The sequence below is a fragment of the Homo sapiens genome, chromosome X, assembly GCF_000001405.40.
Source record: "Homo sapiens chromosome X, GRCh38.p14 Primary Assembly".
Lineage (NCBI taxonomy): Eukaryota > Metazoa > Chordata > Mammalia > Primates > Hominidae > Homo > Homo sapiens.
In genome coordinates this window covers 19861931-19888329 of record NC_000023.11, presented here as the reverse complement: position 1 = coordinate 19888329, position 26399 = coordinate 19861931, and the positions used below count along the sequence as shown (strand labels likewise).

Here is a 26399-nt window from a genome sequence, read left to right as displayed (position 1 = left end):
TCGGCCCCGCTGCGTCCTTCGCCCGTTTTTCCCCACGTCAGTGCCACCGCCTCCTCTGTGCGGAACTCGCACCTGGCCTGCCTGCGTTCCCACGCCCCACCGAAGGGACGCCGCGTTTCTCTCCCTTCCAAGGGACCCTTTTCCTTCCCCTCCAACAGCCCCCCGGGAAAACTCATTCCAGATTGCCTCGATGCCCCAGGGCCACCTGCCATCACCCTGGTCAGGCGTTTGGCCCCGGGCCTGCCCTGGTCTCCATCCCCAGCCCGTCCTCCACCTCTTGTCGCCCCCTCCCGCTCAGCCCCCTTCTCCTCCTTCTCCACGTGCCCCTGCACTCCCACGCCCCTCCCCCAAGAAGCCCCTCTCCTCCGGTCTCGAGGAGTCTCGCGGCACTTCCCGGGGCGTCAGCCCAGCCGCTGCGGGTGGGTGGCAGCCGCGCGGAGAGGGGTGCCTCTGGCGCGGGCGGTGAGGAGGGCGCCCAAGCCCCTCAGCCGCAGGGACGCCCCCGGCGCCTGCCCCGACGCGGCCCCGGCCCCGGCCCCGCCCCTCTCCGGCCCCGCCCCCGCCCGGCGGCCGCGCGTCCCCGGCAGGCGGAGCTGCAGGAGCCTCGCGGCAGCGCTGAGGAGGAGGGGAGAGCGGGCGGCGCGGCCGCGGCTGCCGGGCGCTGGGCTGGGCGGCGCTGTTTTTTTTTTTTTTTTTTTTTTTTTTTTTTTTTTTTTTTTTTTTTTTTTCGCAATTTCCACTCGCGGGGAGCAGGAAACCCGGCGCAGCCGGGCGCATTGGGCCGCGATGCAACAGCAGCAGCAGGAGTCGCCCCGGGGCAGCAGCGGCAGCAGCAGCAGAGGCAGCAGCGGGCGGCGCTGAGCCGCCGCCGCCGCCACTGAGGAAGAAGCCGGCCCAGCCGCCGCCGCGTCCGGACCCTCGCGCCTGGATCCCAGCGCCCCGATCCCGGCGCCCCAACCCCCACGCCCGCCTCCGCCAACTTTCACGCTGCCTCGGCGGCCCGGCCCGGCTCGACGCCAATGGGTGAGTGGGGGCCGCCCGCGTCCGGGCGTCCACTTCAGCCTTGAGGGCGGCGCGCCAGTCCCAGAACCGCGGAGCCCGGGAGGGCGCCCCGGGGGCAGGGTCCGGACGGGGGACACCGCGGTGGGCGCCCTCGCCTGCCTCGCGCACCCCCATTCACTCCCACTTGCGCCCGTGTGCCCGCCGAGCCCGCGCGCGGCGCCGACGGGAACCCGCGGGGGCCTGAGCAGACGATCACGGGGGCTGGCCCCGGGCGGCTCGGGCTGAGGGATGCAGGGGGTGTGGTTGGTTTTTCGGGTGGGCGGGGAGAGTTTTGTCTTGGCCATTTTTGCACCCGAGCGCGCCCTCCTCTGCGCTGCGGACACGGGCACCCGGACCTGGTGGGCTCCGGCCCTGCGCGGGGCTGCTGGTGTCTTCCTGGTCCTGTCTCGGGGGAAGCTGGAACCTCGGGGTCTTGGAGGGGGCTGGGTTGCCTTTGCTGGGGGTTGACAGGGGTTGGGGGGTGGGGCGGGAAACGCCCCAGTTCCTGGTCTGGCTCGCAGTCCCGGGGTCCAGAGCACCTGACGCTCCTCTCCTTGCGCCCCCCTTCCTCCCGGCCCCGACCCTTTCGCTGCTGCCTTCCTCCAGCCTGGCGAGCTCTCTGCTCCGTGATGCTAAAAGGCCACTTCCCATACTGTCCTTTAAGTCTTCAGGGTCTGGGACCTGGAAATGGTGATCCGGTCTTTGATTTACTGAGTAAACATCAGTTCGAAGTAGCCAACTAACCTTTGAACCCCCTGGGTCCCATTTGATTTAGACCCCGGAGCATTGGAACCACCTTGCTGCCCAGAGAAGCTGCCACTTTATTGGCAAGGCACTTATGATTACTTGGGCTATTAAATGTTTGGTCTACCCAGGTAATGTTCTTGCTGACAGCCAGCTTCTGTTTTTCAGCCTCTGGCAGATTATTTTTGGATGTTCCTAGGCCAGGCATAGGAAGGCTGCAGATAATAATAAATCATAATAAAGTGAGACCTTTCTGTGTTCAGGTAATAGGATTCCAGTACACTAGTCAGGATGTTCAGAAAGCCTGAAGGATTGGAAAAGAGGAGGTTTAACCCAGTCCGTTGTTGACAGGCAAAGTTAAAATCCCATTTGTGGTCATTTGCCAAAAAAGGTTTTCCTTTTCTAAGTAGTGGTGATCTGTTGTCCCCTTGGCTTAAATGTCACTTTTTTCACAGTGCCCTTCTCTCCCACCTGTAGTCTAAATTGGTTCCTGTTCCATTTTCTCATACAACACCTTTTTTTTTCGTAGCAGTATTACATATTTGTGCGTAACAGTTATCTCCTCTACTGTAAGCTCTGTGACCATAGGGACAGCACAGTGTTGCATAGTTTGCTCAGCACTTTTGGTGTGTGGCACAGAGCAGGACCTAAATATTTGTTGAATGAATGAATGAGGGGCATGAAATCCTCCTCCTCTGCTGGGGACAGAACACTTAGCTCACTCTTGTTTTGCTTTGGCCCATAAGATGATTTAGTTCATTGGCAGAAGTATATACTTTAAACCTTACAGGCCACTTTAGTAATGGGTTAATTTCTCCCGAGGTAACCAAAAATTCTGTTTTGATCACCTTTCATTTTGGGTGGGTCACCGAGAGGGTTATGCACAAAAAGAAGTTAATCCAAATGTCTTCTCCCATGGCCAGACTGTGCTTTCTGTATCTCAATGAGAAGGGGACTGAGTCTCATTTAAGAAGAATCAGACCTATTTTTCAGATTTGAACTGTTTTCATTCTTCAGAACTTCCTACGAAAAATAGAGTGCTCCTGTAGTTTTTAGTCCTTTTGTACTTAATCTTTACTGCAACCATTATTGCAGGGGGAGGGGGCATCGATTTTCATTTATTTCAGGAGTTAATACTTAGAGGTGATAATGTCAAAACGAATGTAATTTAATTCATGTTTATAGTGGGATTTAAGGTGCTTATAGTAGTTTGTGGCTAAAAATCACCTGCTCTTTTGAAAGCATCTCCAGCAGTATATTTGTAATGAAGTGCAGTTATTTAACGGTTCATTCTGTATGTCTTCCAATGGAGTGATCTAATGGGCTGAGGTTGTGTGTATGCAGACAGAGGCCCACCCTTTCCCCCAAGTCTCTGGTTTTCAGATTTATCCAGTTTATCAATTTGATGCAATTTTATTCTTTTTTAAGAGGGAGGGTCTCGCTGTGTTGCCCAGGATGGATTTGAACTCCTGGACTCCAGATCTTCCCAAGTAGCTGGGACTGCACGCTCACACCACTGTGCCTGATTCTGATACACTTATATTCTTACCTGGCCTGATAATGAGTTTTCTCTTGATGGATAACATAGTAAAACTGTATCTTATATTTCGTTTTCTGAAAAATAACAGAAAAGAACCAAATCCCTAACCCTGAAGTGAAGCTGGTTAGTTGCAACATGGCCTCTTATAAAAGCCCATCAGAATGTGCCCTCTGAACTTGCTAGGAGATGCATGCCTACAGTGCCAGACACAGAGAAAGCCTCTTATAATTACAATTAAACAGATATTATGGTGACCCAAATCTGTGAGTAGTGAAGGGTTTGCAAGCCCACAAATGATTTCTGTTTAATTCCAGAGTAACAACAAAGTTTGGATAGCCTTTGGCAATGTATTTATTGTATTGGCGGTAGACTGCTGTATGCTAAACTAAAGCTAAAATGAACATAATGTGTTGGTCTGTACAAATGTCTTGAGTTAGAAATGGAAGAAAAGGCTCCCACCTTAATTGTACATAAGCTTTACCCACTTCTATCCATCTTGGCACGAGCAAAAGCTTGCTGTGGCTCTGGTTACACAAACCTTGGTGGTTTCTTCTCTTACTACTTCAGTTCTTTTGGCGTTACTGACATTCTCTCATCAACTCTTGAGTTTGTAGTTGTTTTTAATGTATTTTGCATACAGCAGTATTTGTTCATCTATCCATCCATCCATCCATCCAATGTTTGTTGATCTTCTTTGCATAGGCACTGTGCTAAGAACAGGTGCAGAACAGAGACATGACACTTTGGGCTTCTCAGTCTAATGAAGGCTGACTTGAATGCAATTCTCATGGCAGTATGTAGCTGAAAGCCATAGTAGAGCGCATGAAAGATGAGTGGAGAAGGCCAATCTGACTTAGCCTGGAGAGTGCCCAGGACAGTGTCTTAGAGGAGATTGTGTTTGAGCAGAAATCTGGTTGAGTATGAGTCATCACTGCCCTCCAGCCACACCTGGTTCTTGTGGCAGAGACTGAAAACGAGCACCGTGGGAACCGCGGGGCATCTCAGTAAGATGGTACAAGGAAGGATGACTTAGAGGGCTTGCACCTGTGTCAGGTGGCTTGAGGGCGTGTTTAAGGAAGCTGGGCATTACTTTGGATTGGATGCTACCAGGGGGAATTTGTGATTGGGTATTTTAACAAATGTTCTCTAGGAGCAGGGAACATTGGAGGCAGGCCACAGCTATGGTTGGTAAAGCAGCAGCAGTCATTTGCATTATCCAGGATTGGGGGATATTTGGTCATGTGTGTGGTTTGGACAAGGTGCATGTTTTGTCCGTGTTCAGACATGATTAATGTGTGGTCTTGTTTTCATCTTATTCCATCCTGGTCGCAGAGTGGCCTTGTCTGATGTTGGTTTTCTAGGGAATTGTTTCTGTTCAACAGGACACCCTGGCCCAGCTGTGGGTGCCTGGCCAGCTCCCAGCCAGAAGAACTGCTCTTTCTCCGAGTTAACTATGTGACAGGCAGGGGCAGGGAATCGGAGGCAGTGGGGGAGGAAAATGGCTTTCTAGGTATATCTGTGGCTACTTCATATCAACCAGGTATAGCCTGGACTGTTGTTCAATGCTAAGCACGATGGACATCTGAAATGCTATACTAAGGGAAGAGAGAGTGACAGAGAAAGAGCAAGCTGCTGAGAACCATGAAGTCAGTGCTAATGGGAAAGACGCAGAACAGGAAAATAGCCCAAATACTTAGTGTTAGAGAAGGAGAGCCTCTAATGCAGCGCTTCTCAGAGGGTGGCCCCAGGCCAGTAGCACAGCCTCCCCTGCAACCCGTTAGAGATACAGATTCTCTGGCTTCATTCCAGCAGACCTCCTGAATCAGGAATGCTGGGGATGGGGCCCAGCAATCTGCATTTTCATGAGTCCTCCAGGTGGTTCTGATCATAGTCCAGTGTAGAACCCCTCCTTGCCTTACAGTTGAGAAAGCTGACATCCGGAGCTCGTGGTTCACTGGGGTACACAAGGCACTCTGTTCATAAGACTATTATAAGTCTTATGTTATAAGTACTGTTATAAGTGACTCATTACCTTAGAGGAGAAAGACATACTCCTACTTCAAAACACACTTCTTGTGTTAAGACAGTACAGTGTGGATTCTTCCACGAATCCAGTCCAACCCAGACCTCCAACACCTAGGCATTAGTGACACTAGGCAGCCGATCTCAGTGTTAGTCTCTGAGACTTTTACCAGAGTATCACACAGGCACTTCCCAGCATCCTTTACCCTCCATCCTCTTTAAAGGGGACTTTAAGTTACACTGTTTGCATTATTCCAGGGTGTAATATTTGTTCATGATTTTCTATACCTGGTACCTGTATTCGTTTCTGATTGCTGCTGTACCTACCACAGACTTAGTGCCTGGAGACATCACATGTTTATCATCCGTCACTGGGCGACAATCACGAAGTCAGCAGAGCTGCATTCCTTCTGGAGGCTGTAGGAGGGAATCCCTTTCCTTGCCTTTTCCAGCTTCCAGAATTGGCATTCCTTTGCTTGTGGCCTCTTCCTCTCTCCAAAGCCAGCAACGGCTGGGCAGCTCTCTCTCCCATCACATCATTGTTACTGACTCTTCTGCCCCTCTTTTCCATGTGTATGGACTCCTGTGATGACATTGGGTCCACCTGGATATTCCAGGCTCATCTCCTCATCTCCAGGTCAGCTGATCAGTAAGTTTAACTCCCCTTTGCCTTGTAACCTAATATTCACACATCCTGGGCTTTAGGATGTGGGCATCTGGGGGCGGGGAGGGAATGTTATTCTGACCACTACACTGCCCTGTGGTGGACCTGACGTTTCCTGGTTTCTCTTGGATAACTGTGTGTTCATAGTCAACTGCCCTGTCCCTCCTTGGGAAGATTCCATCTTTGGTTCTATTTAGATTTTTACAGTTTATTAATAAAGCCGCCTTAAAGTTACATCTTGCATTCACCTTTCCTCTTCACTGCTGTTTTTTTGAGACAGCTTGTCCCACTCTTCCCCTTTCCTCACATAGCCTGCCCTACACCTACCAGGACTCTGGCACTGCCTTGATTGTGTTCTAGAAACTGATCATGCTGAGGTTATCCTGAATGATCCTTCTCCAATCACGAAGTACATGGTCTCAGGCCTCACCATGTTTGACTTCACTGAAGCTTGAGATTGAAGACTGGAAGTCTTTGTCTTCTAGAACACCCTATTTTTTCCTGATTTCTCCTACAGTCCTCCCTTCTTTTCTTCCACCCCTGTCCACCTGTGGAATGCTGTCATCTCTGGTCCCCTTATGTTTAGTGTGTCCTTGAGTGATTGCAGCCACTTTGCCAATTCAGGTGTCGCCTATTGACGATGCCCACATCTGTCCCCAGTCTTGGTCTCTGTTCTGAGCTCAGGACCCACCCACTATAAGCACCACAAGGGCAGGAACCTCGTCAGTTTGGTCATTGTGTTCCTGTGCCTGGTACACTGTAAGCCTAAGATTAACATTGGTTGAGCTGATTATCATTGGTATCCTCTCCTAGCTAACTTCACCCAGGTGTGTCTTAGACGCCTCAGACTGAGCATGTTGCAAACTAAGCACAGCATTTCTCCTCTGTAATGCCTGCCCTGCCTCTTTTTACTTCCCATTTCATTGAGGGTATCACCATCTTTCCTGTCACTTCCACAGGGACGCTGCTATTGTTCCTTGCCTCTTGTTCCTTCCCCTTTCCCTGCCCCTTCTGATGTACAGTCAAGCCCTAAGTGGCTCTGGAATTGACCCTATGTGTCTACCCTTCTGCAAATGCTTTAGATCCTGAATGCCTTAGTGAAGCCTTCGTGAAGCTCGGCAGCCACCAATGCTTTCGCTTATTCTAAGCTCATTCAGGTCTCTGAGACTTTGCCCACGTATTTCCCTTCATGGGGAACAGATGTCACTCTCTCCTCTGCCTTGTAGACTCCCTGTATCAGTTTCCTATTGCTGCAGTAACAAATCACTGTGAACCTAGTGGCTTGAAACAGCACAAATGTGTAATCTTATAGTTCTAGAGGTCGGAAGTTCAAAATGGATCTTACCGGGTCGATATCAAGGTGTCAGCAGGGTTGCGTTCTTTCTGGAGGAATTCATTTCCCTGCCTTGCCCGGCTTCTAGAGGCTGCCTGCAGTGCCTTTACCTCCTTCACTCGTACCCCAGCCCTCCAACCTCTGCTTCAGTCCTGGCATCTCCTATCTTTCACCGAGCCACCTGCCTGCCTTTTATGAGGACCATTGTTTGACACTGGGCCCACCTGGATAATCCAGGATCCCCTCCCCTTCTCAGGATGCCTGGTGAATCACACCTGCAAAGTTCCTGTTGCCATGGAAGGGAACATAGTCACAGGTTCTGGGGATTAGGATATGGCCATCTTTGGGAAGTCATTGTTCAGCCTCCCACACCGCTTGTGCATCTGTGGGAGCCTGCTCCAAAGGTGTGCTGTACCATACTTTGTTTAAAACATTTTTTATTTTTAATTTTTGTGGGTCCATAGCAGGTGTATAAAGTTGTGGGGTACATGAGATGTTTTGATACAGGCATGCAATGTAAAGTGATACAACATTTCCTCTTGTATTAAGTCTCCATCTCCAACTGGATCTGCTCAGCTCCATTGCCCTGGCACATTGCCTGGCATACAGTAAGTGCCATATGTTAATGAATGAACATGTAACCCTTTCACCCAAATACGGTTACAACTTGCAATTCTCCACGACTATGGACCACCAGGAGTGAGTGTGCAATTCTGTAAAGTCCCCTGGGCAGAGCATGTTGACAAGGTCTGTTTGCTGACAGTTCCTGGTGGCCCACACTGTAGTGGGTGAGAAGGGTGATGCCACATGTATTACATGGCTTTAACAAAGAACTGCACATTTTAAGATAGAAAATTCTCTCTGGCAGTGGTTCTGAACTGGGGGCAATTCTCCCCACCAGGGGGACACAGCACTATCTGGAGACACTTTTGGTTGTCACAGCTGGTGGCGGGGGTCAGGGGAGTGGAGAGTCATTCTACTGGCATCTACTAGGTGGAGGTCAGGGGTGCTGCTAAACATCCTACGATGCACAGGCCAGCCGCCCCCCGCACCACCACAACAAAGAGTTATCTGACCCCAAATGTCAGTCATGCTGAGGTTAAGGAAGCCTGCTCTGGGGGAACCCCGGGGGCTTATTAACACAGATGGCTGGAGCACCATTTCCTTACTTCATTATCAGTCCTTCTGGAACATAAGGCTTTGTATGTAACCACAGTCTTCGTTTTATGCACGAACCTACAAGTCACTAGAGAACAGGACTCTTTGGGACTTTCACCATTTTGTTCTTTGAATGGAGAGTGTCTTAACACAACTCTTGCCTCTCTTCCGTTGATACCTAGGTAGTTAAGCTGGGGAGAGGCAAGGGCTTTGGGGCACGAAGTTGTTAAACTTGCTTCTGGTAGTGTTTGGCCCCTGTAATGTTTTGTCTTTCTATTGGGATGTGCTTTTATGTGGGGGGACAGGCGATGGGTCCTCTGCTACTCACATATTGGTCCCTGGCATTGAAGTGCTGGAAGGAGCCTTGGCAGTCATGGCCCATGACATCAGATGATGAGACTGAGCCTCAGAGAGGCAGAGTGACAATGGTCCCCTAGTGGTAGAACCCAACTGCCTTCCAGTATGGAAGAACCAGCCCCGCCCAATTTCTGTAGGTGCTCAGAAAATGTCAGGCTCCTGCTTCCCCTCGTGAGGCTCTTGCTACAGTCTCTTTCCGTAGTAAGTTTTTTATTTTTTATTTTTTGAGACAGGGTCTCACTCTGTTGCTCAGGCTGGAGTGCAGTGGCGCAATCAAGGCTCACTGCAGCCTCGACCTCCCAGGCTCAAGCGATCCTCCCACCTCAGCCACCCAAGTAGGTGGGACTACATGTGCGTGCCACCACGCCCAGCTAATTTTTGTATTTTTTTGTAGAGATGGGGCTTCGCCATGTTGCCCAGGCTGGTCTCGAACTCCTGGGCTCAAGTGATCCACCTGCCTTGGCTTCCCAAAGCATTGGGATTAGGCATGAGCCATCACACCAGGGTGTAAGTTTTTTTTAAACAGATTTATTGATGTATAATTTGCATACCATACAATTTATCCATTTAAGGTGTGCAATTCAATGGGTTTTGGTACATTATTAATTTTATGCTAAAACATGTAACAAAATTTGCAATTTTCACCACTTTTAAGTGTATAGTTATACTGGGTATATTCACAATGCTTTGCAACCATCACCACTATCTAGTTCCAAAACTTTCTTTTTTTAAAATCACCCCTCCCTAGTAAGTTTCTAACTTGAAGGTCAGAATCCATGTCCCCTGGGGGTTCCTGGACCAGCCAGCCAATTTGGAGAACACTTGGAAGCCCAAGGATCCCAGTTGAGATTCCAAAGGAAGATAGGAAAAGGGAAAGCGTGGCTTTTTGTGTGTGTGTGTGTTTTTGGTTGATATTTCCTTGGGAGGCCCTTTATTTTCTCTCTCTCTCTCTCTCTCTCTCTCTCACACACACACACACACACACACACACACACACAAATTAGCCAGGCGTGGTGGCACATACCTGTAGTCCTAGCTACTCAGGAGGCTGGGGCAGGAGAATCACTTGAACCTGGGAGCAGGAGGCTACAGTGAGCCGACATCGCACCACTGCACTCCAGTCTGGGCAACAGAGTGAGACCGTGTCTCAAGGAAAAAAAAAAAAAAAAGGTCTACATCATGGGAGAAAACACTGCAGTGCCAAACAGATCCCTCGAATTCACACACATGGTTGATATCATTCCACGTTTCTTCACTTAAATTCCTTCAGCTGGCAAAGGTCCACCAGCAACCTGTGATCATGAGCACTTGGTTTTCAACTTGATCATTATCTTATGGATAAATATCTTGCAGGCAGTTCTGTAGTTTTCATTAGGGGATGCTTAAGGCAAAAGGTAGCTCATGGGTCTTAACTCTGTGGTCAACTGTGCTTATATTTAGCCTTACAAAGAAAAAACACTAATAACAAAAATCCTGTGATACTTGTCCTAACGGAATACTATCCAGTTGGCAAGAAAAGACCAGAAAAGGCCTCTGCTTACTTCCTTTCTGTGGCCACGGAAGTGGTGGGGGCACTGCTGGAGGCTGGTCCATCTCCAGGTGTGGGTGACAGAGTGGCAAGATGAAGTGCAGTTCAGTTCATACTGTTATTTCTATCTTGGATAAAATACTATAAACATTTCAATGCTTATTAATGACTCATTTGGCATAATAAATTTAAGTCCTTGAGCACCCAAGTACAGCATGTATAGACAGTTTAAACAACCATCTCCTTACACTTGAGCTTCTTACCAGCCAGTATGCAAACACCAGCCCTTGTGTTTTTGCCAGATTTTTCTGGACTGTTCTAGACTTAGAAGACTTGGGGCCATGTTCTAGGTCTGGTCCTCTGGGGCTGCACCAGTTTTAGCCATCACATGTTACCTCCCCATGTGAAAAGTCTTTAATTAGCTTAGTGTCCTGTCTAATTATTCCAGCTAGTTCTTAGGTTTGTGCCTGGAGCTAGACGGAGACGCTTGGCCCTCATTTTGGATGAAGACTGGGAAAGGCCATTCTTGCTCTGCTGCCCCCTCCTCTTAGCCAGCATCTTCATGGACCTCAATTTTCTTCACCAGGGTGTTCTGGGTGCTGTCTTTTGATGAGCATTTTACATAATAGCTTCTCAAATTCACTTGACAGAAGTGACTTCGTAAATGAACTTTGCCTTTCTCCTGTTTTGATCATCAAAACAAAACCAGCAAAAACATCTCTTCACAACTTGACCGAAATGGGACAGTTTTAAACCACTTAGCCAGTGATTTCTAATTACCCCTTTGTTCTCAACAAACTATTAGATGGCAAAGAGAGGTGTCAACTCAAATACAGTAGGTCAATGAGCTCATCTGTGATCCATGAAGCAGGATGGACAGAGTAAGTGTTTGTTAATTGATGGTGATTTTTTTAAAGCTTAATTGCTGCTTTTGGCTGTCAGGAAACAAATGAAAGTAATTGGCTTGCGGAGGGTGGATTGTGGGGGGAAAAGTGAGGTGGAAGATTTCACCAATTGAAGAAAAAATTGGAAAGGGGGAAGCAGTTCACACTGTCTTCATCTGTTTTCTGGGGCATAATGACTACAGCTGCTTGCTTGAGACATTTTTAAAGTTAGTTTTTGGAATAGGTTATATATCCCCAGGATTCGAAATTCAAAAGGTGAAAAAGTGTTTACGGGAAAAAGTCTCCCTCCCATCTCTGTCCTTCAGCTATGCAGTGACCCTCCCCATAGGCTGCTGCTATTTTGTTTCTCAAGTTTTCTTCCAGGGAGCTTTCATATGTATACCAACACAGAGGCATTTCTGTTATTTTCCCCTCCTTTTTTAACGTCCTGATTAATTGATGATGGGTGAACTTCTGTCTAGCTGGGGATTTTCTCCCCCCCGGAGATGTGCATTGGAACGCTATGCCTAGTCCTTCCATCTAGTTTTGATGGAGGGATAGGTGGACTTCGGAAAAGTTCTCCAGGAGACTGCTCTATTGTCCTGAGGCTCAGCTGATCTGGGTTATTAATTGACAGAAACTTTGTCCTGGATCTTAACCCATCTAGGTGTTTTTTTTGTTTGTTTGTTTTTGTTTTCTTGACAGAGTCTCACTCTGTTGCCCAGCCTGGAGTGCAGTGGTGTGATCTCCGCTCACTGCAACCTGTGTCTCCCGGGTTCAAGCGATTCTCCTGCCTCGGCCTCCCGAGTAGCTGGGATTACAGGCATCTGCCACTATGCCCAGCTAATTTTTTTGTATTTTTAGTGGAGATGGGGTTTCACCATGTTGGCCAGGCTGGTCTGGAACTCCCGACCTCAGGTGATCTGTCTACCTCAGCCTCCCAAAGCGCTAGGATTACAGGCGTGAGCCACCACGCCCGGCCTTAACCCATCTGGGTTTTGAACTCAGGAACAGTCTTCCCACTTTCATGTTGTATATATAGTAAGGACTTTCTTCAAATGATAGAAGCCAAGCAGGGCCCGCTAACCTGAGCAAAAGGGATGCTTATTCTGGGGCCACAGGGACCTCTCATGCAACCCAAGGGTGCCTGCTGGAGGAGCCGGACCCCAAGAAGCAGCAGCTGGAGCTAGGTGTGGGCCAGCTGCCCAGTGTGCCCTCTGGCCATGCTTCCTCCCTGTCCCCTTTCTTCTGTGTGACTTGTTCATGGGGCACATGCCACAGTTCCAAATGCCTGTTAAGTGTGACTTGATTTGGTCCCAGTTCCACATTTTTGTTAGTGAGACTGAGCCCACCGGAGCTTCTGTCTCCTCCCACCTCCACCCTCCATATACACAGGTGGCTGCTCCATGCCCACATCCATGGTGGGCGGGAGGTGCTCAGTTCCAGTCCTGGTGTAAATGTTGAAGGAGGGCGCATGGAGGACCCAAATGAAGCCCTGCCCTGTGGAGGAGTGGGTGCTACGGGGCTGCCCTCGGGCCAGGCACTCTCAGTGAGGATGCTAGACCGCCTGCCAGTGTTGGCATTCATTTTCCCTGCCCTCCTCTTGACAAAGGAGTGACTGATGTGAGGCCGTGTGGCCTCTTCTGTGCTCTAGCCATCCAGGATGTTCATTCCATCCTCACAGAGTCCCTTCTATGAGGCTCCCTGAGGAAGGGCCCTTGTCGGAGCCGAGAACAGTTGTGCTTCAGAGTAATGGGGCTATTTTAATCCTTTGAGCTCCTGAACTGTGTGACTAAGCTCCATGTCACCTATTGAGTTGGCGGCCGTTAAAAAGTGTGTCTGTGCCTCTGGGGGCCCTTGGATGGGTTGGTGATAGCATGCCATGGGGGAAGGGTACAGTTGTGACATCGTCTGGCGCTTTTAGGGAACCTGTGGGTTTTTAAATGGAGGAAGAGATGTAGACATTGTAAAAAACAGCCACCGCCTGACGAGTTAACCCCTGAGGTAGAGATGCGCTCCAGAAAGCGGGCAGGGGGCTCTCGCCCTAATGCCTATCTCCTCCCTCCTGCCTTCTCCCCCTCTTTTTCTCCTCTCTCTCCCCCTACCTTTTCTCTCTCTGCTCTTTCTTCATCCCCTCACCCTTTCTCTCATCCCTCACTCCTCTTCACCCTGTCTCCCTCACTTTCTCTCATCCAGATCCATCTCCCCTACGCTCTTTGTCCCCGCATCTCTCTCCCATTCCCCTGCACCCCCTCTCCCCTTCCACCCTCTTTTCCACACCCCTTCTCCCCACACCTTCTCTTTCCCTCTTAGTCTCTCTCCCCGCATCCTCACTGTCCACCCCCAGCCTCCTGACCCTCCCCACTTCTGCTCTCCCTTCCTCTCAGCCCCTCTGTGTTTTGCCCCTTTCTTCCCAGCCCGTTCCTCTTATTTTCTCTCTTCCTCACCCCTCCTCTCCTGGCCCCTGTGTCTTACCCTTCTCATTGCCCACATCCCTTCTCCACTGCCCCCTTCTCCACACTTCCTCTCCTGTTCTTACTAAGCCCTTCTTCCTTTCTTCTTCCCCCTCCTGCCTCTCTTCTCTCACCCCTCAACACCTCCACACCCCCCCACTTTGCCCCCCCAACTCTTCCTCTCCTCTCTCCCATCCTCTCATCTGCCCCCAAGCCCCCTTTTCTGTCTCTCTGCCCACTTCTTTCTCCCCCGACCCCAGTTCTCTCCCCGGAACCCCACTCTGGCCCCAGTGCCCACTCTCCCTCAACCCCTCTTCTCTCTTGCACTTCCTCCTCCTTCCCACATTCTCCCATTTCTTCCTTCAAACCCAGTATTGCTGCGTGCCTCAGATTTTCAATCCCACAGGGCAGGAAGAGCCAGGGACAGGGTTACTGGCCTTCTCCATCCCACAGCCAGCCATGGGTCCCTACTCTAGAATAACTGTGATTTTTATTTTAGTGTACTTCTTTTAGAGTTTTATATATATATATATATATTTTTTTTTTTTTTTTTTTTTGAGATGGACTCTCACTCTGTTGCCCCGGCTGGAGTGCAATGGCATGATCTTGGCTCACTGCAACCTCTACCTCCCCAGTTCAAGGGATCCCCCCGCCTCAGCCTCCCGAGTAGCTGGGATTACAGGCGCACACCACCATGCCTGGCTAATTTTTGTATTTTTAGCAGGGACAGGGTTTCATTGTGTTATCCAGGCTGGTCTCGAACTCCTGGCCTCAAGTGATCCACCCACCTCAGCCTCCCAAAGTGCTGGGATTACAGGTGTGAGCCACTGTGCCTGGCACTATTTCTTTTTTCTTATGAACTCCTCTTACTATCATTCCCAAATATTTTGGTGTATTTCTTTTTAGGTTTTCTTTATTTTTATTTTTATTTTTTTTGATAGAGTCTTGCTCTATCCCCCAGGCTGGAGTGCAGTGGCATGATCTCGGCTCACTGCAACCTCTGCCTCCTGGGTTCAAACGATTCTCCTGCCTTAGCCTCTCGAGTAGCTGGGATTACAGGTGCCTGCCACCTCGCCCGGCTAATTTTTTGCATTTTTAGTAGAGACAGGGTCTCACCATGTTAGCCAGGCTGGTCTCAAACTCCTGACCTCGGGTGATCCACCCACCTTGGCCTCCCAAAGTGCTGAGATTACAGGTGTGAGCTACCATGCCCAGCCAGGGTTTTTACTATTAATATATACTTGTTGCTATATGTACATGTATTTTATATATACATGTATATATATGTATATGTATATATATATATATATATATACATATATATATATATATGTCCTTGTTTTTTCCACTTCATAGTCATCTTTGAAGCCAGTGTTTTTAGTAGCTGAATATTTGAGTTCATGCATCTTAATTTATGTAACTATTTCCCTGTCATTTGAGCATTTAGGTAGCTTCTATGATCTTGATATTATATAGACGAGGATGTGATGGACATATGTCCCCTTTCTATCCTGTAAGGAAATCACACTGTAGGCAGTGTGGCATTTTATATCCATTCTTTATCTCCATAGATGCCCAAATGACTGGACTGGCCCCTGATGATGAGAAGGAAGAAGAGTTCAGTCCAAGGGAATTGGCACATGGGAATTGGCAGGGTACTTGTCCTCCATGTGTTTGCTTTCAGTTTTAGTTCTAGAAACTCTGTGTTCATATGGCTTATCATCCCTTTTATATGTGCTCTGTGTGTGTGTGTGTGTGTGTGTGTGTGTGTGAGAGAGAGAGAGAGAGAGAGAAGAGAGATGGAGACAGATCAACTGATACTTCTTTTTTTTGAGACAGTCTTGCTCTGTCGCCCAGGCTGGAGTGCAGTGGTGCGATCTCGGCTCACTGCAAGCTCCGCCTCCCGGGTTCACGCCATTCTCCTGCCTCAGCCTCCCGAGTAGCTGGGACTACAGGCGCCCGCCACCATGTCCAGCTAATTTTTTGTATTTTTTTTTTAGCAGAGATGAGGTTTCACCGTGTTAGCCAGGATGGTCTCTATCTCCTGACCTCGTGATCCGCCCGCCTCGGCCTCCCAAAGTACTGGGATTACAGGCGTGAGCTACCGCACCCGGCCCCAACTGATACTTCTAAAAGCAACTGCATGTGGGCTTTTATGTTCCACAGCACTGTCCCTATTTCACTGCACCACTGTGGGGCAATTAATCCTGGTCTCGAGTTCAGGTGTAAGATTAGAGGATACACAGTGAAAGGTGAAATCCTTGGGGGTTTGGTTCCTTTGTTTTCTCTCCCGCTTTTTGCCATTCTTTTTCTTTCTTTCTTTCTTTCTTTCTTTTTTTTTTTTTTTTTTTTTGAGATGAAGTTTCACTCTTGTTGTCCAGGCTGGAGTGCAATGGCGCGATCTCAGCTCACTGCAACCTCCACCTCCTGGGTTCAAGCGATTCTCCCGCCTCAGCCTCCTAAGTAGCTGGGATTACAGCCATGCGTCACCATGCCCGGCTAATTATTGTATTTTTAGTAGAGACAGGGTTTCACCATATTGGCCAGGATGGTCTCGAACTCCTGACCTCAGGGGATCCACCCACCTCAGCCTCCCAAAGTGCTGGGATTACAGGCGTGAGCCACCGTGCCCGGCCACCATTCTTTTACCTGACTGATATTTAAGGGAATTTTGTTTCCCAGAACCATAGGGAAAACTGTGTCCTGAAGGCCCTGAGCCATCCATGTGACTTCATGTTTGGCTGAGATAGGGGTCCAAGTCCCTTGCTGGCAAGGGAAAGGTCGTGGCTGTAATAATCCCCTTGTGGTTTCTAGCTTAGCTTTGTGTCATCATGCACTCCTCTGAAAAAATTGTGCTCTTAGCTTTAAAGGGCACCACGTAAGGGTGGCTAGAACCCCCAGGAGCCAGGCTGGATGAACCATCTCAACGCCTTGGCCTTTTTAATTCATCACTTTCAGTAATGGACAGGATTGTGGAAAGTATTCATTCTTCAGCCACCAAGTGTACGTCAAATGTCAGCTCATGTACCTGTTAAAAAAATAAGTTGAATATTTATGATGCCATCTCAGGGGCAAGTTTCAGTGAAAGTTCTAAAGTTCATGATAATAAATGTTAGAAAGCATTGGTGCTAATATGTACCATATACTTTATCCCTTTGTTACCTTTTCAAATTGTGAACATAACCTGACTTGAATTTGTAGGACAAACAAAACAGTTGACTCAATACTGCTGTGTATTGGAATTCAATTAAATTCTAGAAGTGTTTATTGAGTGCCTGTTAAGCATAAGATCTGATAACCAGGGGAACTCCTCAAACATATCTAGAGTTTCCCTCAATTGTTCATTTTTCTTAACTTTCATTTCCCTAATTGGGTGAAGATTGTGATGTGGTCATTTTATGAATCGCCCAACAAAATAAGCAGTTAAACCAAAGGGTGTTTGTTTGAGAAAGTTCTATTTATCCAGAAAGAAGGAAAGATATAAATTTTAGCAAAACACATCAAATTAGAAGACAGCTTTGTGAGATAGAAAAATGTCTAGTCAGTCTCTGAAACTCCCTCCTCACTGGTAGTTTAGAGAGAAACAAAACAGAATGGGGTTTCTCAAATGAGTGCTAAAGTTCCCCTCACAAGGAAAACATTTCCCAATAATTCCTGCTTTGCCTTAAACCCACTACCATGAAGATCAGCAGTAACAGGAGACACGGCGGTGTGCTTCGGCCGTGAGGTTGTTGCTTGGTGATGTGACAGGCACATACTGCTTGCTCTGGTGCGGTCTTTTGTGTTCACTTGCTTATCCCATCTCTTTTCTCTCTTCAAACCACTGTGAGAATCCCTTCACACAGTTCTCTCTGAGGCCTTCTCATGTGGTGCTACACAATAAAATCAGTTCTGGAAGCTGATATGATAGTTGATGTCATGTCTATGACATCAAACATCATTATAAAATGTATAGTAGTGGGCTGGGCATGGTGGCTCACGCTTCTAATCCCAGCACTTTGGTAGGACAAGGTCAGCGGATCACGTGAGCCCAGGAGTTCGAGACCAGCCTGGGCAACATGGCGATACCCTGTCTCTATTTAAAAAATACAGAAAATTAGCCAGGCATGGCGGCATATGCCTGTAGTCCTAGCCACCCAGGACACTGAGGTGGGAGGATCACCTGAGCCTGGCAGGTTGAGGCTGCAGTGAGCCATGATCGTGCCACTGCACTCCAGCCTGGGCAACAGAGTGAGACCCCAGCTCAGAAAAAAAAAAAAAGAAATGTGTAGTTGTGGACTCATCTCTTGATGTAAGAACTAAAACACTGCTCCAGCTCTGTCCCCTCCCTCCTCTTTCCCTAGAGGAAGCAACCACCCTAAGTCTTTTTAAAATCATCTTTCTTCTTTTTTAAGAAATAATTTTATCATTTCCATATGTATCTCTTAAAAACAAACATATTGTCTGGTTTTGCTTGTTTTTAGTTTTATAAAACTGGGACCGAAACTGCAGAGACTTGTGATTTGCTTGTTGTCTCTGATTTTGCAGTTCATGTGTTTTTCCTGTCTGGTATTCCATTGTTTGAACATGCCACTGTATACTTACCCTTTCTCCCCGATGGACTTTTGCTTTGCTTCCAGTTTTTTGCTGCTATGTACAGACTTCCCATCACCATTTGAATGAATGTCTCTGGTGTATGTGTGAAGTGTATTTTTTTAAATGTGCATAGCAAGGAGTGGTTTTGCTGGGTTTTAAGTTGCTGGATTTCCAAAGTGTTGTGCCAGTATATGTTCTCAAGAACTGAGTGAATGAACAAACTAATGAATGAAGAAGATAACATATTCATGGAAGGAGAGAGTATATGAATATTCAGCTTTAGAAGAGAATGCCTAATTGATTTTCAAAATATGTGTTCCTAGAGTGTAAACATCTCTGCTACTCCCTGTTCTCGCCAATATTTGGTATCCCAGATATATTGGGATATAGGCTAAACTGCCATCACAGAGACCCCAAGACAGCATAGCTGTTTCCTTCTCAGGCTACTGCCTCCTGACCACTGGACTGGTCAGGGTGAGTGAATTGCTTTGCTCAGATTCCTTCTCTCTTGTGGACATGGTCGGAGCTGGCTCACCAGCACTGTGTCCACCTTTCAGCCCATGGCAGAGGGAAGTAGACGGGGAGTAGCTTCTCTTCGTTAAGGACATGACATGGAAACTGCTTACATCACTTCCACCCACACCCCATTGCAAAGAACTTAGCTACAGTCTCACACCCAGCTGCAGGTGAGTCTGAGGAAACAGGCTCCAGCTGTGTAACCATGTGCCCAGCAAAATCTGAAGGCAGAGGAGTATTAATTTCCTATTCCTGCTGTAATAAATTACCACAAATGTAATGGCTGCAAACAGCATAATTTATTGTATTCTAGTTTGTGAAATCAGAAGTCCAGAATGGGTGGGCAGGGCTGAGTGCCTTCTGGAGGCTCTAGGGGAGGATTCCTTTCCTTACCTTTTGCAGCTTCTAGAGGTCAACTGCATGCCTTGGCTTCTGGCCTCTTCCTCACATCACCCTGACCCCTCCTCCCTTCATCTCATTTCCTTTTCCGGCTCTTCCATCTTTTAAAGATCCGTGTGATTACACTGGGATCAGCCAGTTAATCCAGGATACTGTCCTCATGTCAAGATCCTTAATCAAATCTGTGAAGTCCCTTTAGCCACTTTAGGTGGCATATTCACAGGTTCGGGGAATTAGGGCATGGACATACTTTGTGGGGATTGGGGAGCATTATTCTGTCTACCGTAGGGGAAGGGATGGGTTCTACAGACAGTCCCTGACTTATAATGGGTTGATTGAATGGTTTTCTGATTTTACAGTGGTGGAAAAATGACATGCATTCAGCACATTCCTCATCATGTCCCCATAAACCCATCGTGAGTTGAAAATATCCTAAGTCAAAAGTGCATTTACAACTTAGGATATTTTCAACTCACGATGGGTTTATGCAGATGTAGCCCTGTGGTTAGTTGAGAAGCATCTGTATTTTTTAAAAGAGGAAGGGGATAATGGGTACTAGAGAGAATGATCAGTTTCTGCCATATCATACCATCGCATTTTTGCCAATCACATGGCTGTGGATATATTTTAAGTGTTAAGTTGTCAGAACTGGTGAATTTGCTGAAGAGAGGACTTTGTTTTCTGATACTTTGTGATTGTCGGGATTCAAATGTTGAAGTAATCCTAAAAAACAAAGCATATTTTTGAGGTCTTTCTCATGAGTGACAATTTCATCCATCAGTCTTCTGTTTGCCACAGTCCTTTTGCGGAGGGCATTCCCATCCACTGTTGTACTTGTAGCTTCCTCAGCGAAGCTAACAGAGCAGCTAGCATCCCTAGGATTAAATGACAAGGTGCGTATTAAGATCCCGGCGCACAGTAGGGGCCCAGATGTGTTACAAATAAACAATAACAAAAGCCCACACTAGCACATCGTGGCCAGAGCCGCCTTGTGTGCAATAATCACCTCATCATACATTGCATGCACATAGTAGGTAGACAAATCAAACCCTCCTTTCCTAATACCCTCTGGCCCTCCAGCTTGCTGTGGACTGGACGTTTGCATCCCCCTCCTATTCATTCCTGTGTTGCAGCCCTAATCCCTCATGTTGTGTTATTTGGAGATGGGGTCTTTGGGAAGTCATTACAGGTCCCTACTCCTTTAGGCAGCTCGATTTAGAAGTCTTTTTCTTTTTTCTTTCATCAATTTTTTTTTCTTTCATCAGTCACTTTCTTCTGATAATGGGGGAGGTTAAGTCGCTAATTTGTCAAATTTATGTGCACTCATTTTTGTATATAAGATAGGACAAACTTTCTGTGGTGATAACTTAGGAGTCTGCAGGGGCCAGCAAGACTCATTTGTCCTTTCCTGGATCCAGCAGCACCATCCTCGGCCCCTTTTCATTGCCTCCCTGGGCTTCACTAAGACTGTGCTTGGACCCTTCCTTCCTTCCCTCCATGTTGTCCTAGGCCCTGTCTTGAGAAATCTTGGCTCTTAGCCTGGAGCTGACAAATTCTTGCTTAGGAGGTGGAAGAGAATCGCATGTCTGACTAAAATAATTCATACACACTGCAGTTGCAATTTCACTTTCCTGGGGTTTATAAACAGGAAGACACCACCAATTGGGGATGAGTTATTTATTTTTGAGGGGGGTTCGTGAGACATCTTATTTATCTTTGTTTTACTTGGTCTGCTGGAAAATGCAAGGAAATCCGATTTGTTGTAGCCAGACATAATTCCCTCTTCCCTTTCCTCCCTCCCCACCCCTAACTTGGCTGCTTCCTGAAGCACAGGAGAAGGGTCACCACTTGAGGAGAAGGCACATGCTGGTTCAGGAAGCCCCAGTGGGTTCCTGCAAGGACTCCAAAAATTATGCTCTGTGAGCACTAGTTTCCCTGGCGCCCAGGCCAAGACCACAGCCTTCTCAGGTCTTCTTGTCTATGCCGGTATCACTATGCCTGGCACAGTGTCTCACCAACAGGCAGCGAAAGAAAAATTTTGTTGAAAGAGTGAAAACAACATGTGACTTTAAAGCCAGAGCCTCATTTTCCCCAACCAGTTCAGAAATTTAATGGGATCGCATATTGACTTCTGCTCGAGTGCATGTTGGCTATGGTTGAGGCGACCGAGAAAGCCAGCACTACTCAGTTTTCCCTGCTCTTGGCCTTGTCGTGTTGTAAGGTCTGTTTACGTTTGGATAGTATTTCTCTCAAGAGGCCTAAAATATAGGTAAAATCATCAGTGACGCCATCCATGGGAGAATTTTGGCAACACAACAGCATTTGTGCCTAGACCACTTCTGCTGTATGTATGAGAATCTTCCTGTGGCCTTTGATTAGCCGTTAACAGAAATTTCTTTTTTTTCTTTTCTTTTTTTTTTTTTAAAGAGACAGGGTCTCGCTCTGTTGCGCAGGCTAGAGTGCAGTGGTGTGATCATGGCTCATTGTACCCTCAAACTCCTGGGCTCAAGCGATCTTCCTGCCTCAGCCTCCCGAGTAGCTGGGACCACAGGTGTGCACCACCATACCTGCCTAATATTTTAATTTTTTTGTAGGGATGGAGGTCTCGTTATGTTGCCCAGGCTGGTCTCAAACTCCTGGCATCTCGGCCTCCCAAAGTGCTGCAATTACAGGCATGAGCCACCGCATCCAGCCCTCAGAAGTTTCTTTTGCATTGAACTTGCCAAGAAAAGACCCATTTATATGATCAGCCCCTTGTAAAGCGCGTGCCCTGTCTTCAGGGTAGCTGAGGGGCTAGCTTGTTTTACTGTCCCCTCCAAAGTTTCCCTGCCATGGTTCTACCATAGAAGAAATCTTCTCCTTTATCTTCCTTAGTTGTGGTCAGCTTTCAGGCTTGCCACACTTCCTCCTGGGTGAGTAAAGAGGCACATTTGGGTGCCCTGGGTTGGGCACAGTAGATTTGAGGTAAGGGAGCCAGAGTGCTCATTTCTGCAGCAGGGCTCTCATCCTGCATTTTAGGGAAGTGTCTCTGGCCCCCTGCAATGCGGGATGTTTTTCTTCTTTTTTCCTCTTGCTTTATGTTAGCTTGAACCAGTCCCTGGTGTTTTGCTTCAGGATTCTTTTCTTCCTCCCTAGGGAGTAATTGCTTAGAAAATGCCCTCCTGTCAAAAACACAAAGTCTTCAATGTCATAAATTGGTAGTGGAAACTCCTCCGTCATCTGGCTTAATATTTGAACTGTTGCTAATGGCTAAGAGATTGCAGCATGAAGGTGGGTCCCTTTGGAAGCCTGTTGGGTCAACTGGGGTGTTGGCTGTCTCCTTTGGTCAGTGTGTGTACAGTCATTTGGGGACCAGCCCATTCATCGCAGGCACTTCAATCTTTTAATGCTCTCACTCTTTGAAGAATTATAGGAGCCATATGCTGCTTCCCAGGTAACCGAGACTTGCTAAAAATAGAGCTTAAATGGCCCCACTGTTCTGGCATTGGAAATCGTTGCTTTTTATTTTTAGGCCAGCTTGTGTGATCCGTAGCTACTTTCAAGCTTGGGCAATAAGAATCACTGAGCAAGACCTTTGTCAGTTGAACACTGTTAAGGTTTGAACCTCCACTCCCAGCTAGTTGGAAGGAGAATCCAAATCTATTGAAATAGGGAGTGCTGACCTTCACATGGCTCCCCTCCTCCACCTCCACCCTCTATTAAGCAGGATTCTGTTTCACTGTGGGTTTAGGGTACTTACCACAAGAAAAATACGTTGCAAAGAATGAATTCTGGCTGTGAGTTTATGGCACCAGCCAAACAACCAGAAGAACAGACTGGCATAAAACAGCTTTGAGGCCATTAAAGAACACCACCAAGGCCGAGACCCATGCACTGTGGGTTTTGGGTGGTCTGAAATGGAAATTGTCATCACCATACTTAGGTGCAGATTAATGCATTAAATGATAAATAAGAATAGGCCTAACTTCCATTGCTCATTTCATAAGTAATAGTCTCATTTTACTATCCCCATTCTTGCCCACCTTCAGTTACAGAAATAACTCTGAGTGGGTTTGCTTTTTAAAGATCTGTGTCAAGCAGATATCTCACAAAAATGGCACAGGCAAAGTGTTCTATTTAGAAGTTGCCCTGTGACACAAAACCACAGTGTGTTTTCAGTCCTTGGGCACTGGTTTCTTTGGACATAAGTGCTAGGGGCATGGTGCCGGCCTTCCGGGGGAAGTGACTTGAAAGTGCTGTGGGCTCCGCATAGAGAGTTTTACTTCATTAACAGTCGCTTATCCGTCAGGTCCAAAAGACGCAGCGGTGGTACTGGTAACCAGGTATATTCGTTTCCTATTGTTGCCCTAACAAATTACCATAAAATGAGTGGCTTAAAACAACACAGATTTTACTGTCTTACAGTTCTGTGGTCAGAAGTTTGATGTGGGTCTCACTGGGCTAAAATCAAAGTGCTGACTGGGCTGCATTCCTTTTTGGAAACTCTAAGGAAAATCCCGTTCCCTTCCATTTCCCATCTTCTAGAGGCAGCCCGTATTCCTTGGCTCATGACCCCTTCCTCCATCTTCAAAGCCACCAACAGTGACCCAGGTCCTTTTCAGGTTGTGTCACTTGATCTTCTCTCCTGTGCCCCCGCTCTCTTTTTAAGAACCCTTGTGGGTACATTGGGTCCACCTGGATAATCCAGGCGACTCTTCCTTTTGTAAGGCCAGCTGATGAGCAACCTTAATTCCATCTGCAACTTTCATTCCCTTTTGCTTGGGATTGGGATGTGGAAATCTTTGCAGGGGGTGGGGGGGTGTTGTTCTGCCAATCCACACCAGGGACTTTGTTTTCCTAAATCTCCATGTCGGGTAGGGCCAAAGGGGCAATCATTTTGGTGGCAGCCTACGTGGAAGATGGCTTCTATATTTGCAGAGTTTCAGGAAGTTGAGAGGGTTTCTCTTAGACCACTAGACTGTGAAGTTTGTCAGATACCTTGTTTCTCTGTAGGGTGGTCCTGGAGTTTTGATGATCCCAGCTGAGACTCTTACCAGGGGCTGCTAGAGCCTGGGGATGGATGGCTGTGAAGGGGAGCAGGGAGTTAGGATGACTGGTAGCAGCTGGGCTGGCCAGCGAGCGAGGAATGAGGAAGCAGGGGGATGAGGACAGGAAATGATAGACGAGTCTGCCCCTTGGGAGAGAGAAAATAGAAGATGGGGTTGATTACATCTGGCCCCAAAGAAAATAAAAGCATGGGCTTTTTTGTTTGTAGGCTTTGTGATTGATTCTACTGTTGAGTCAACTTAGACGCTGGGCTAAACAAATTTATTTGCTTACTTTTTGGACATCCAGTGCACTCTTGCCACTAAAAGCCTCAGGGGTTCATTGTGGCCACTTGGTGTCCCGAGGGAGGTTGGGGGGTGTTGGGTGTCACTGTCCAAACAACTCTCTCTGGAGAGAGCAGCAGCCCAGCTGGGGACCCCGTCCCAGGAGGGCTCTGCTCTGGAGAATGTAAACCGGTCTGGTACAGGCTCACAGAGCCTTAAATGTGTTCTCAAGAATTCTAACAAATAATCTGTTGTGAACTTAAACTGGTTTGGACTTTGAAGAACTGACAAGTTCTTTTGAGAAATAGTACGTGGGAGCTTTGTGCATCCTTTCCCACGGTCCCATGACTGGGAGGTATGTTACAGTGAAAGCAAGTCTCAGACACGTTTTGGCCACTCATTCAGACACTTGTTAGTAAGCAGGCATGAAGAGAGCCCTGCTTTAGCTGGGCGTGGTGGCACATACCTATAGTCCCTGTTACTTGGGAGGCTGAGGTGGAAGGATTACTTGAGCTCAGGAGTTCAAGGCTGTAGTGAGCTATGATCCTGTCACTGTACTCCAGCCTGGGCAACAGAGCAAGACCCTGTCTCTTTAAAAAAAAAAGAGAGCACACTGCAGTCTGTTTTGTAAGCTCAGCAAAGCTTGAGCCCTCTGGCCGGGCCCCTTTTGGGAAAGAGACATTCAAGGCAGATGCCACTGTATTCCAGTGCCGGGATTCAGCTAACCCCCAGGGAGGGGACAGGGTCCTCCTTTAGTGGTTGACAATGGCCCCTGACAGTCCTGGGCCTCTTCTCTGAAGGGGGCAGACTGCTGTTATTTCTAGATTCTTTTGTGCGGTTCTTCTGAGGATGGAGATGGTGGCACAATATTTTCACCCAATTCCTAGAGCAGAGGGCCACTGCTTGTTTTCATCATGCTAATTAACCAACTCTGGTGCAAATGGACTCTGATTAGTCTTTCAAATGCTGATCCACCATCCCTGGAGTGCTTGTTTTTCATTTGGATACTTCAATTGTGAGCTGACCTCTTTTAGGATAAGGATCAAAGCCAAGTAATACAGAGCTATATGAGGAGACTTCAACAAGTTCATGGAAAATGGGTATTATGAAAAAACTATTCATGGATTTAAATTTTTTTTTTTTTGCACCAAAATAAACTCACACTAACTTGGCTGTAACATGTCTGAATAGTATCTAGTTTGAGGCACTAAGAAAGATAAGACACCAGTTTGGAAAGAGCCCCTATCAGAGCAACATGAATTCTGCTAAAATTGAAGCAAGAACAAACACCAAACTTATAGTGAAGCTTGAGTGGAAGAATGGTGAAATAACTGATGCTTTACACAAAATTTATGGGGACAATATTCCAAAGAAATTAGCAGTTTACAAATAGATAGCTCATTTTAAGAAAGGACAAAACAATGTTGAAGATAAGGTCTGCAGCGGCAGACTATCCATATCAATTTTCGAGGAAAAAATTTATCTTGTTTATGCCCTAATAGAAGAGGACTGACAATTAACAACAGAAACAATAGCCAACACCACAGACATCTCAATTGGTTCAGCTCACACAATTCTGACTGAAAAATTAAAACCGAGCAAATTCAATGGGTGGCAAAACCATTGCTCCCAGATCAGGTGCAAACAAGAGCGGAGCTTCCAGTGGAAATTCTAAACAGGTGAGATCAAGATCATGAAGAATTTATTGGAAGAACTGTAACAGGAGATGAAACACGGCTTTCCCAGTGCCATCCTGAAGACAAAGCACAATCAGAGCAGTGGCTACCAAGAGGCGGAAGTGGTCCAGTCAAAGCAAAAGCGGTCAAGAGCAAAGGTCAGGGCAACAGTTTTTGGGGATGCTCCAGGCATGTTGCTT

General features: G+C 47.4%; 1 protein-coding gene across 7 annotated transcripts in view, besides 9 other annotated features; it reads left to right on the top strand.

Annotated features, from left to right (window-relative positions):
- Nucleotides 279–578: a silencer, noted in NCBI's record as "silent region_20692". NCBI's record gives its function as "represses an Ori minimal core promoter by ATAC-STARR-seq in GM12878 lymphoblastoid cells {active_cell/tissue: GM12878}" and the evidence as "EXISTENCE:reporter gene assay evidence [ECO:0000049][PMID:35858748]".
- Nucleotides 639–708: a silencer, noted in NCBI's record as "silent region_20691". NCBI's record gives its function as "represses an Ori minimal core promoter by ATAC-STARR-seq in GM12878 lymphoblastoid cells {active_cell/tissue: GM12878}" and the evidence as "EXISTENCE:reporter gene assay evidence [ECO:0000049][PMID:35858748]".
- The window catches only part of SH3KBP1 (SH3 domain containing kinase binding protein 1), a 353624-nt gene continuing 327954 nt past the window's right edge, over nt 730–26399 (top strand). For all 7 annotated transcript variants that reach the window (NM_001353890.2, NM_031892.3, NM_001353892.2 and 4 more), the window contains exon 1: nt 730–1023. In NM_001353890.2, coding sequence (NP_001340819.1) covers nt 1020–1023 — 4 coding nt within the window. In that variant the 5' untranslated portion in view covers nt 730–1019. The remainder of the gene's footprint in view (nt 1024–26399) is intronic.
- Nucleotides 1189–1328: a silencer, noted in NCBI's record as "silent region_20690". NCBI's record gives its function as "represses an Ori minimal core promoter by ATAC-STARR-seq in GM12878 lymphoblastoid cells {active_cell/tissue: GM12878}" and the evidence as "EXISTENCE:reporter gene assay evidence [ECO:0000049][PMID:35858748]".
- Nucleotides 8300–8359: an enhancer, noted in NCBI's record as "active region_29475". NCBI's record gives its function as "activates an Ori minimal core promoter by ATAC-STARR-seq in GM12878 lymphoblastoid cells {active_cell/tissue: GM12878}" and the evidence as "EXISTENCE:reporter gene assay evidence [ECO:0000049][PMID:35858748]".
- Nucleotides 8530–8579: an enhancer, noted in NCBI's record as "active region_29474". NCBI's record gives its function as "activates an Ori minimal core promoter by ATAC-STARR-seq in GM12878 lymphoblastoid cells {active_cell/tissue: GM12878}" and the evidence as "EXISTENCE:reporter gene assay evidence [ECO:0000049][PMID:35858748]".
- Nucleotides 12795–12844: an enhancer, noted in NCBI's record as "active region_29473". NCBI's record gives its function as "activates an Ori minimal core promoter by ATAC-STARR-seq in GM12878 lymphoblastoid cells {active_cell/tissue: GM12878}" and the evidence as "EXISTENCE:reporter gene assay evidence [ECO:0000049][PMID:35858748]".
- Nucleotides 24204–24253: an enhancer, noted in NCBI's record as "active region_29472". NCBI's record gives its function as "activates an Ori minimal core promoter by ATAC-STARR-seq in GM12878 lymphoblastoid cells {active_cell/tissue: GM12878}" and the evidence as "EXISTENCE:reporter gene assay evidence [ECO:0000049][PMID:35858748]".
- Nucleotides 24624–24923: an enhancer, noted in NCBI's record as "active region_29471". NCBI's record gives its function as "activates an Ori minimal core promoter by ATAC-STARR-seq in GM12878 lymphoblastoid cells {active_cell/tissue: GM12878}" and the evidence as "EXISTENCE:reporter gene assay evidence [ECO:0000049][PMID:35858748]".
- Nucleotides 25168–25774: an enhancer, noted in NCBI's record as "OCT4-NANOG hESC enhancer chrX:19880674-19881280 (GRCh37/hg19 assembly coordinates)". NCBI's record gives its function as "activates a minimal SCP1, AML or CMV promoter by ChIP-STARR-seq in primed H9 embryonic stem cells {active_cell/tissue: H9 hESC(primed)}" and the evidence as "EXISTENCE:reporter gene assay evidence [ECO:0000049][PMID:30033119]".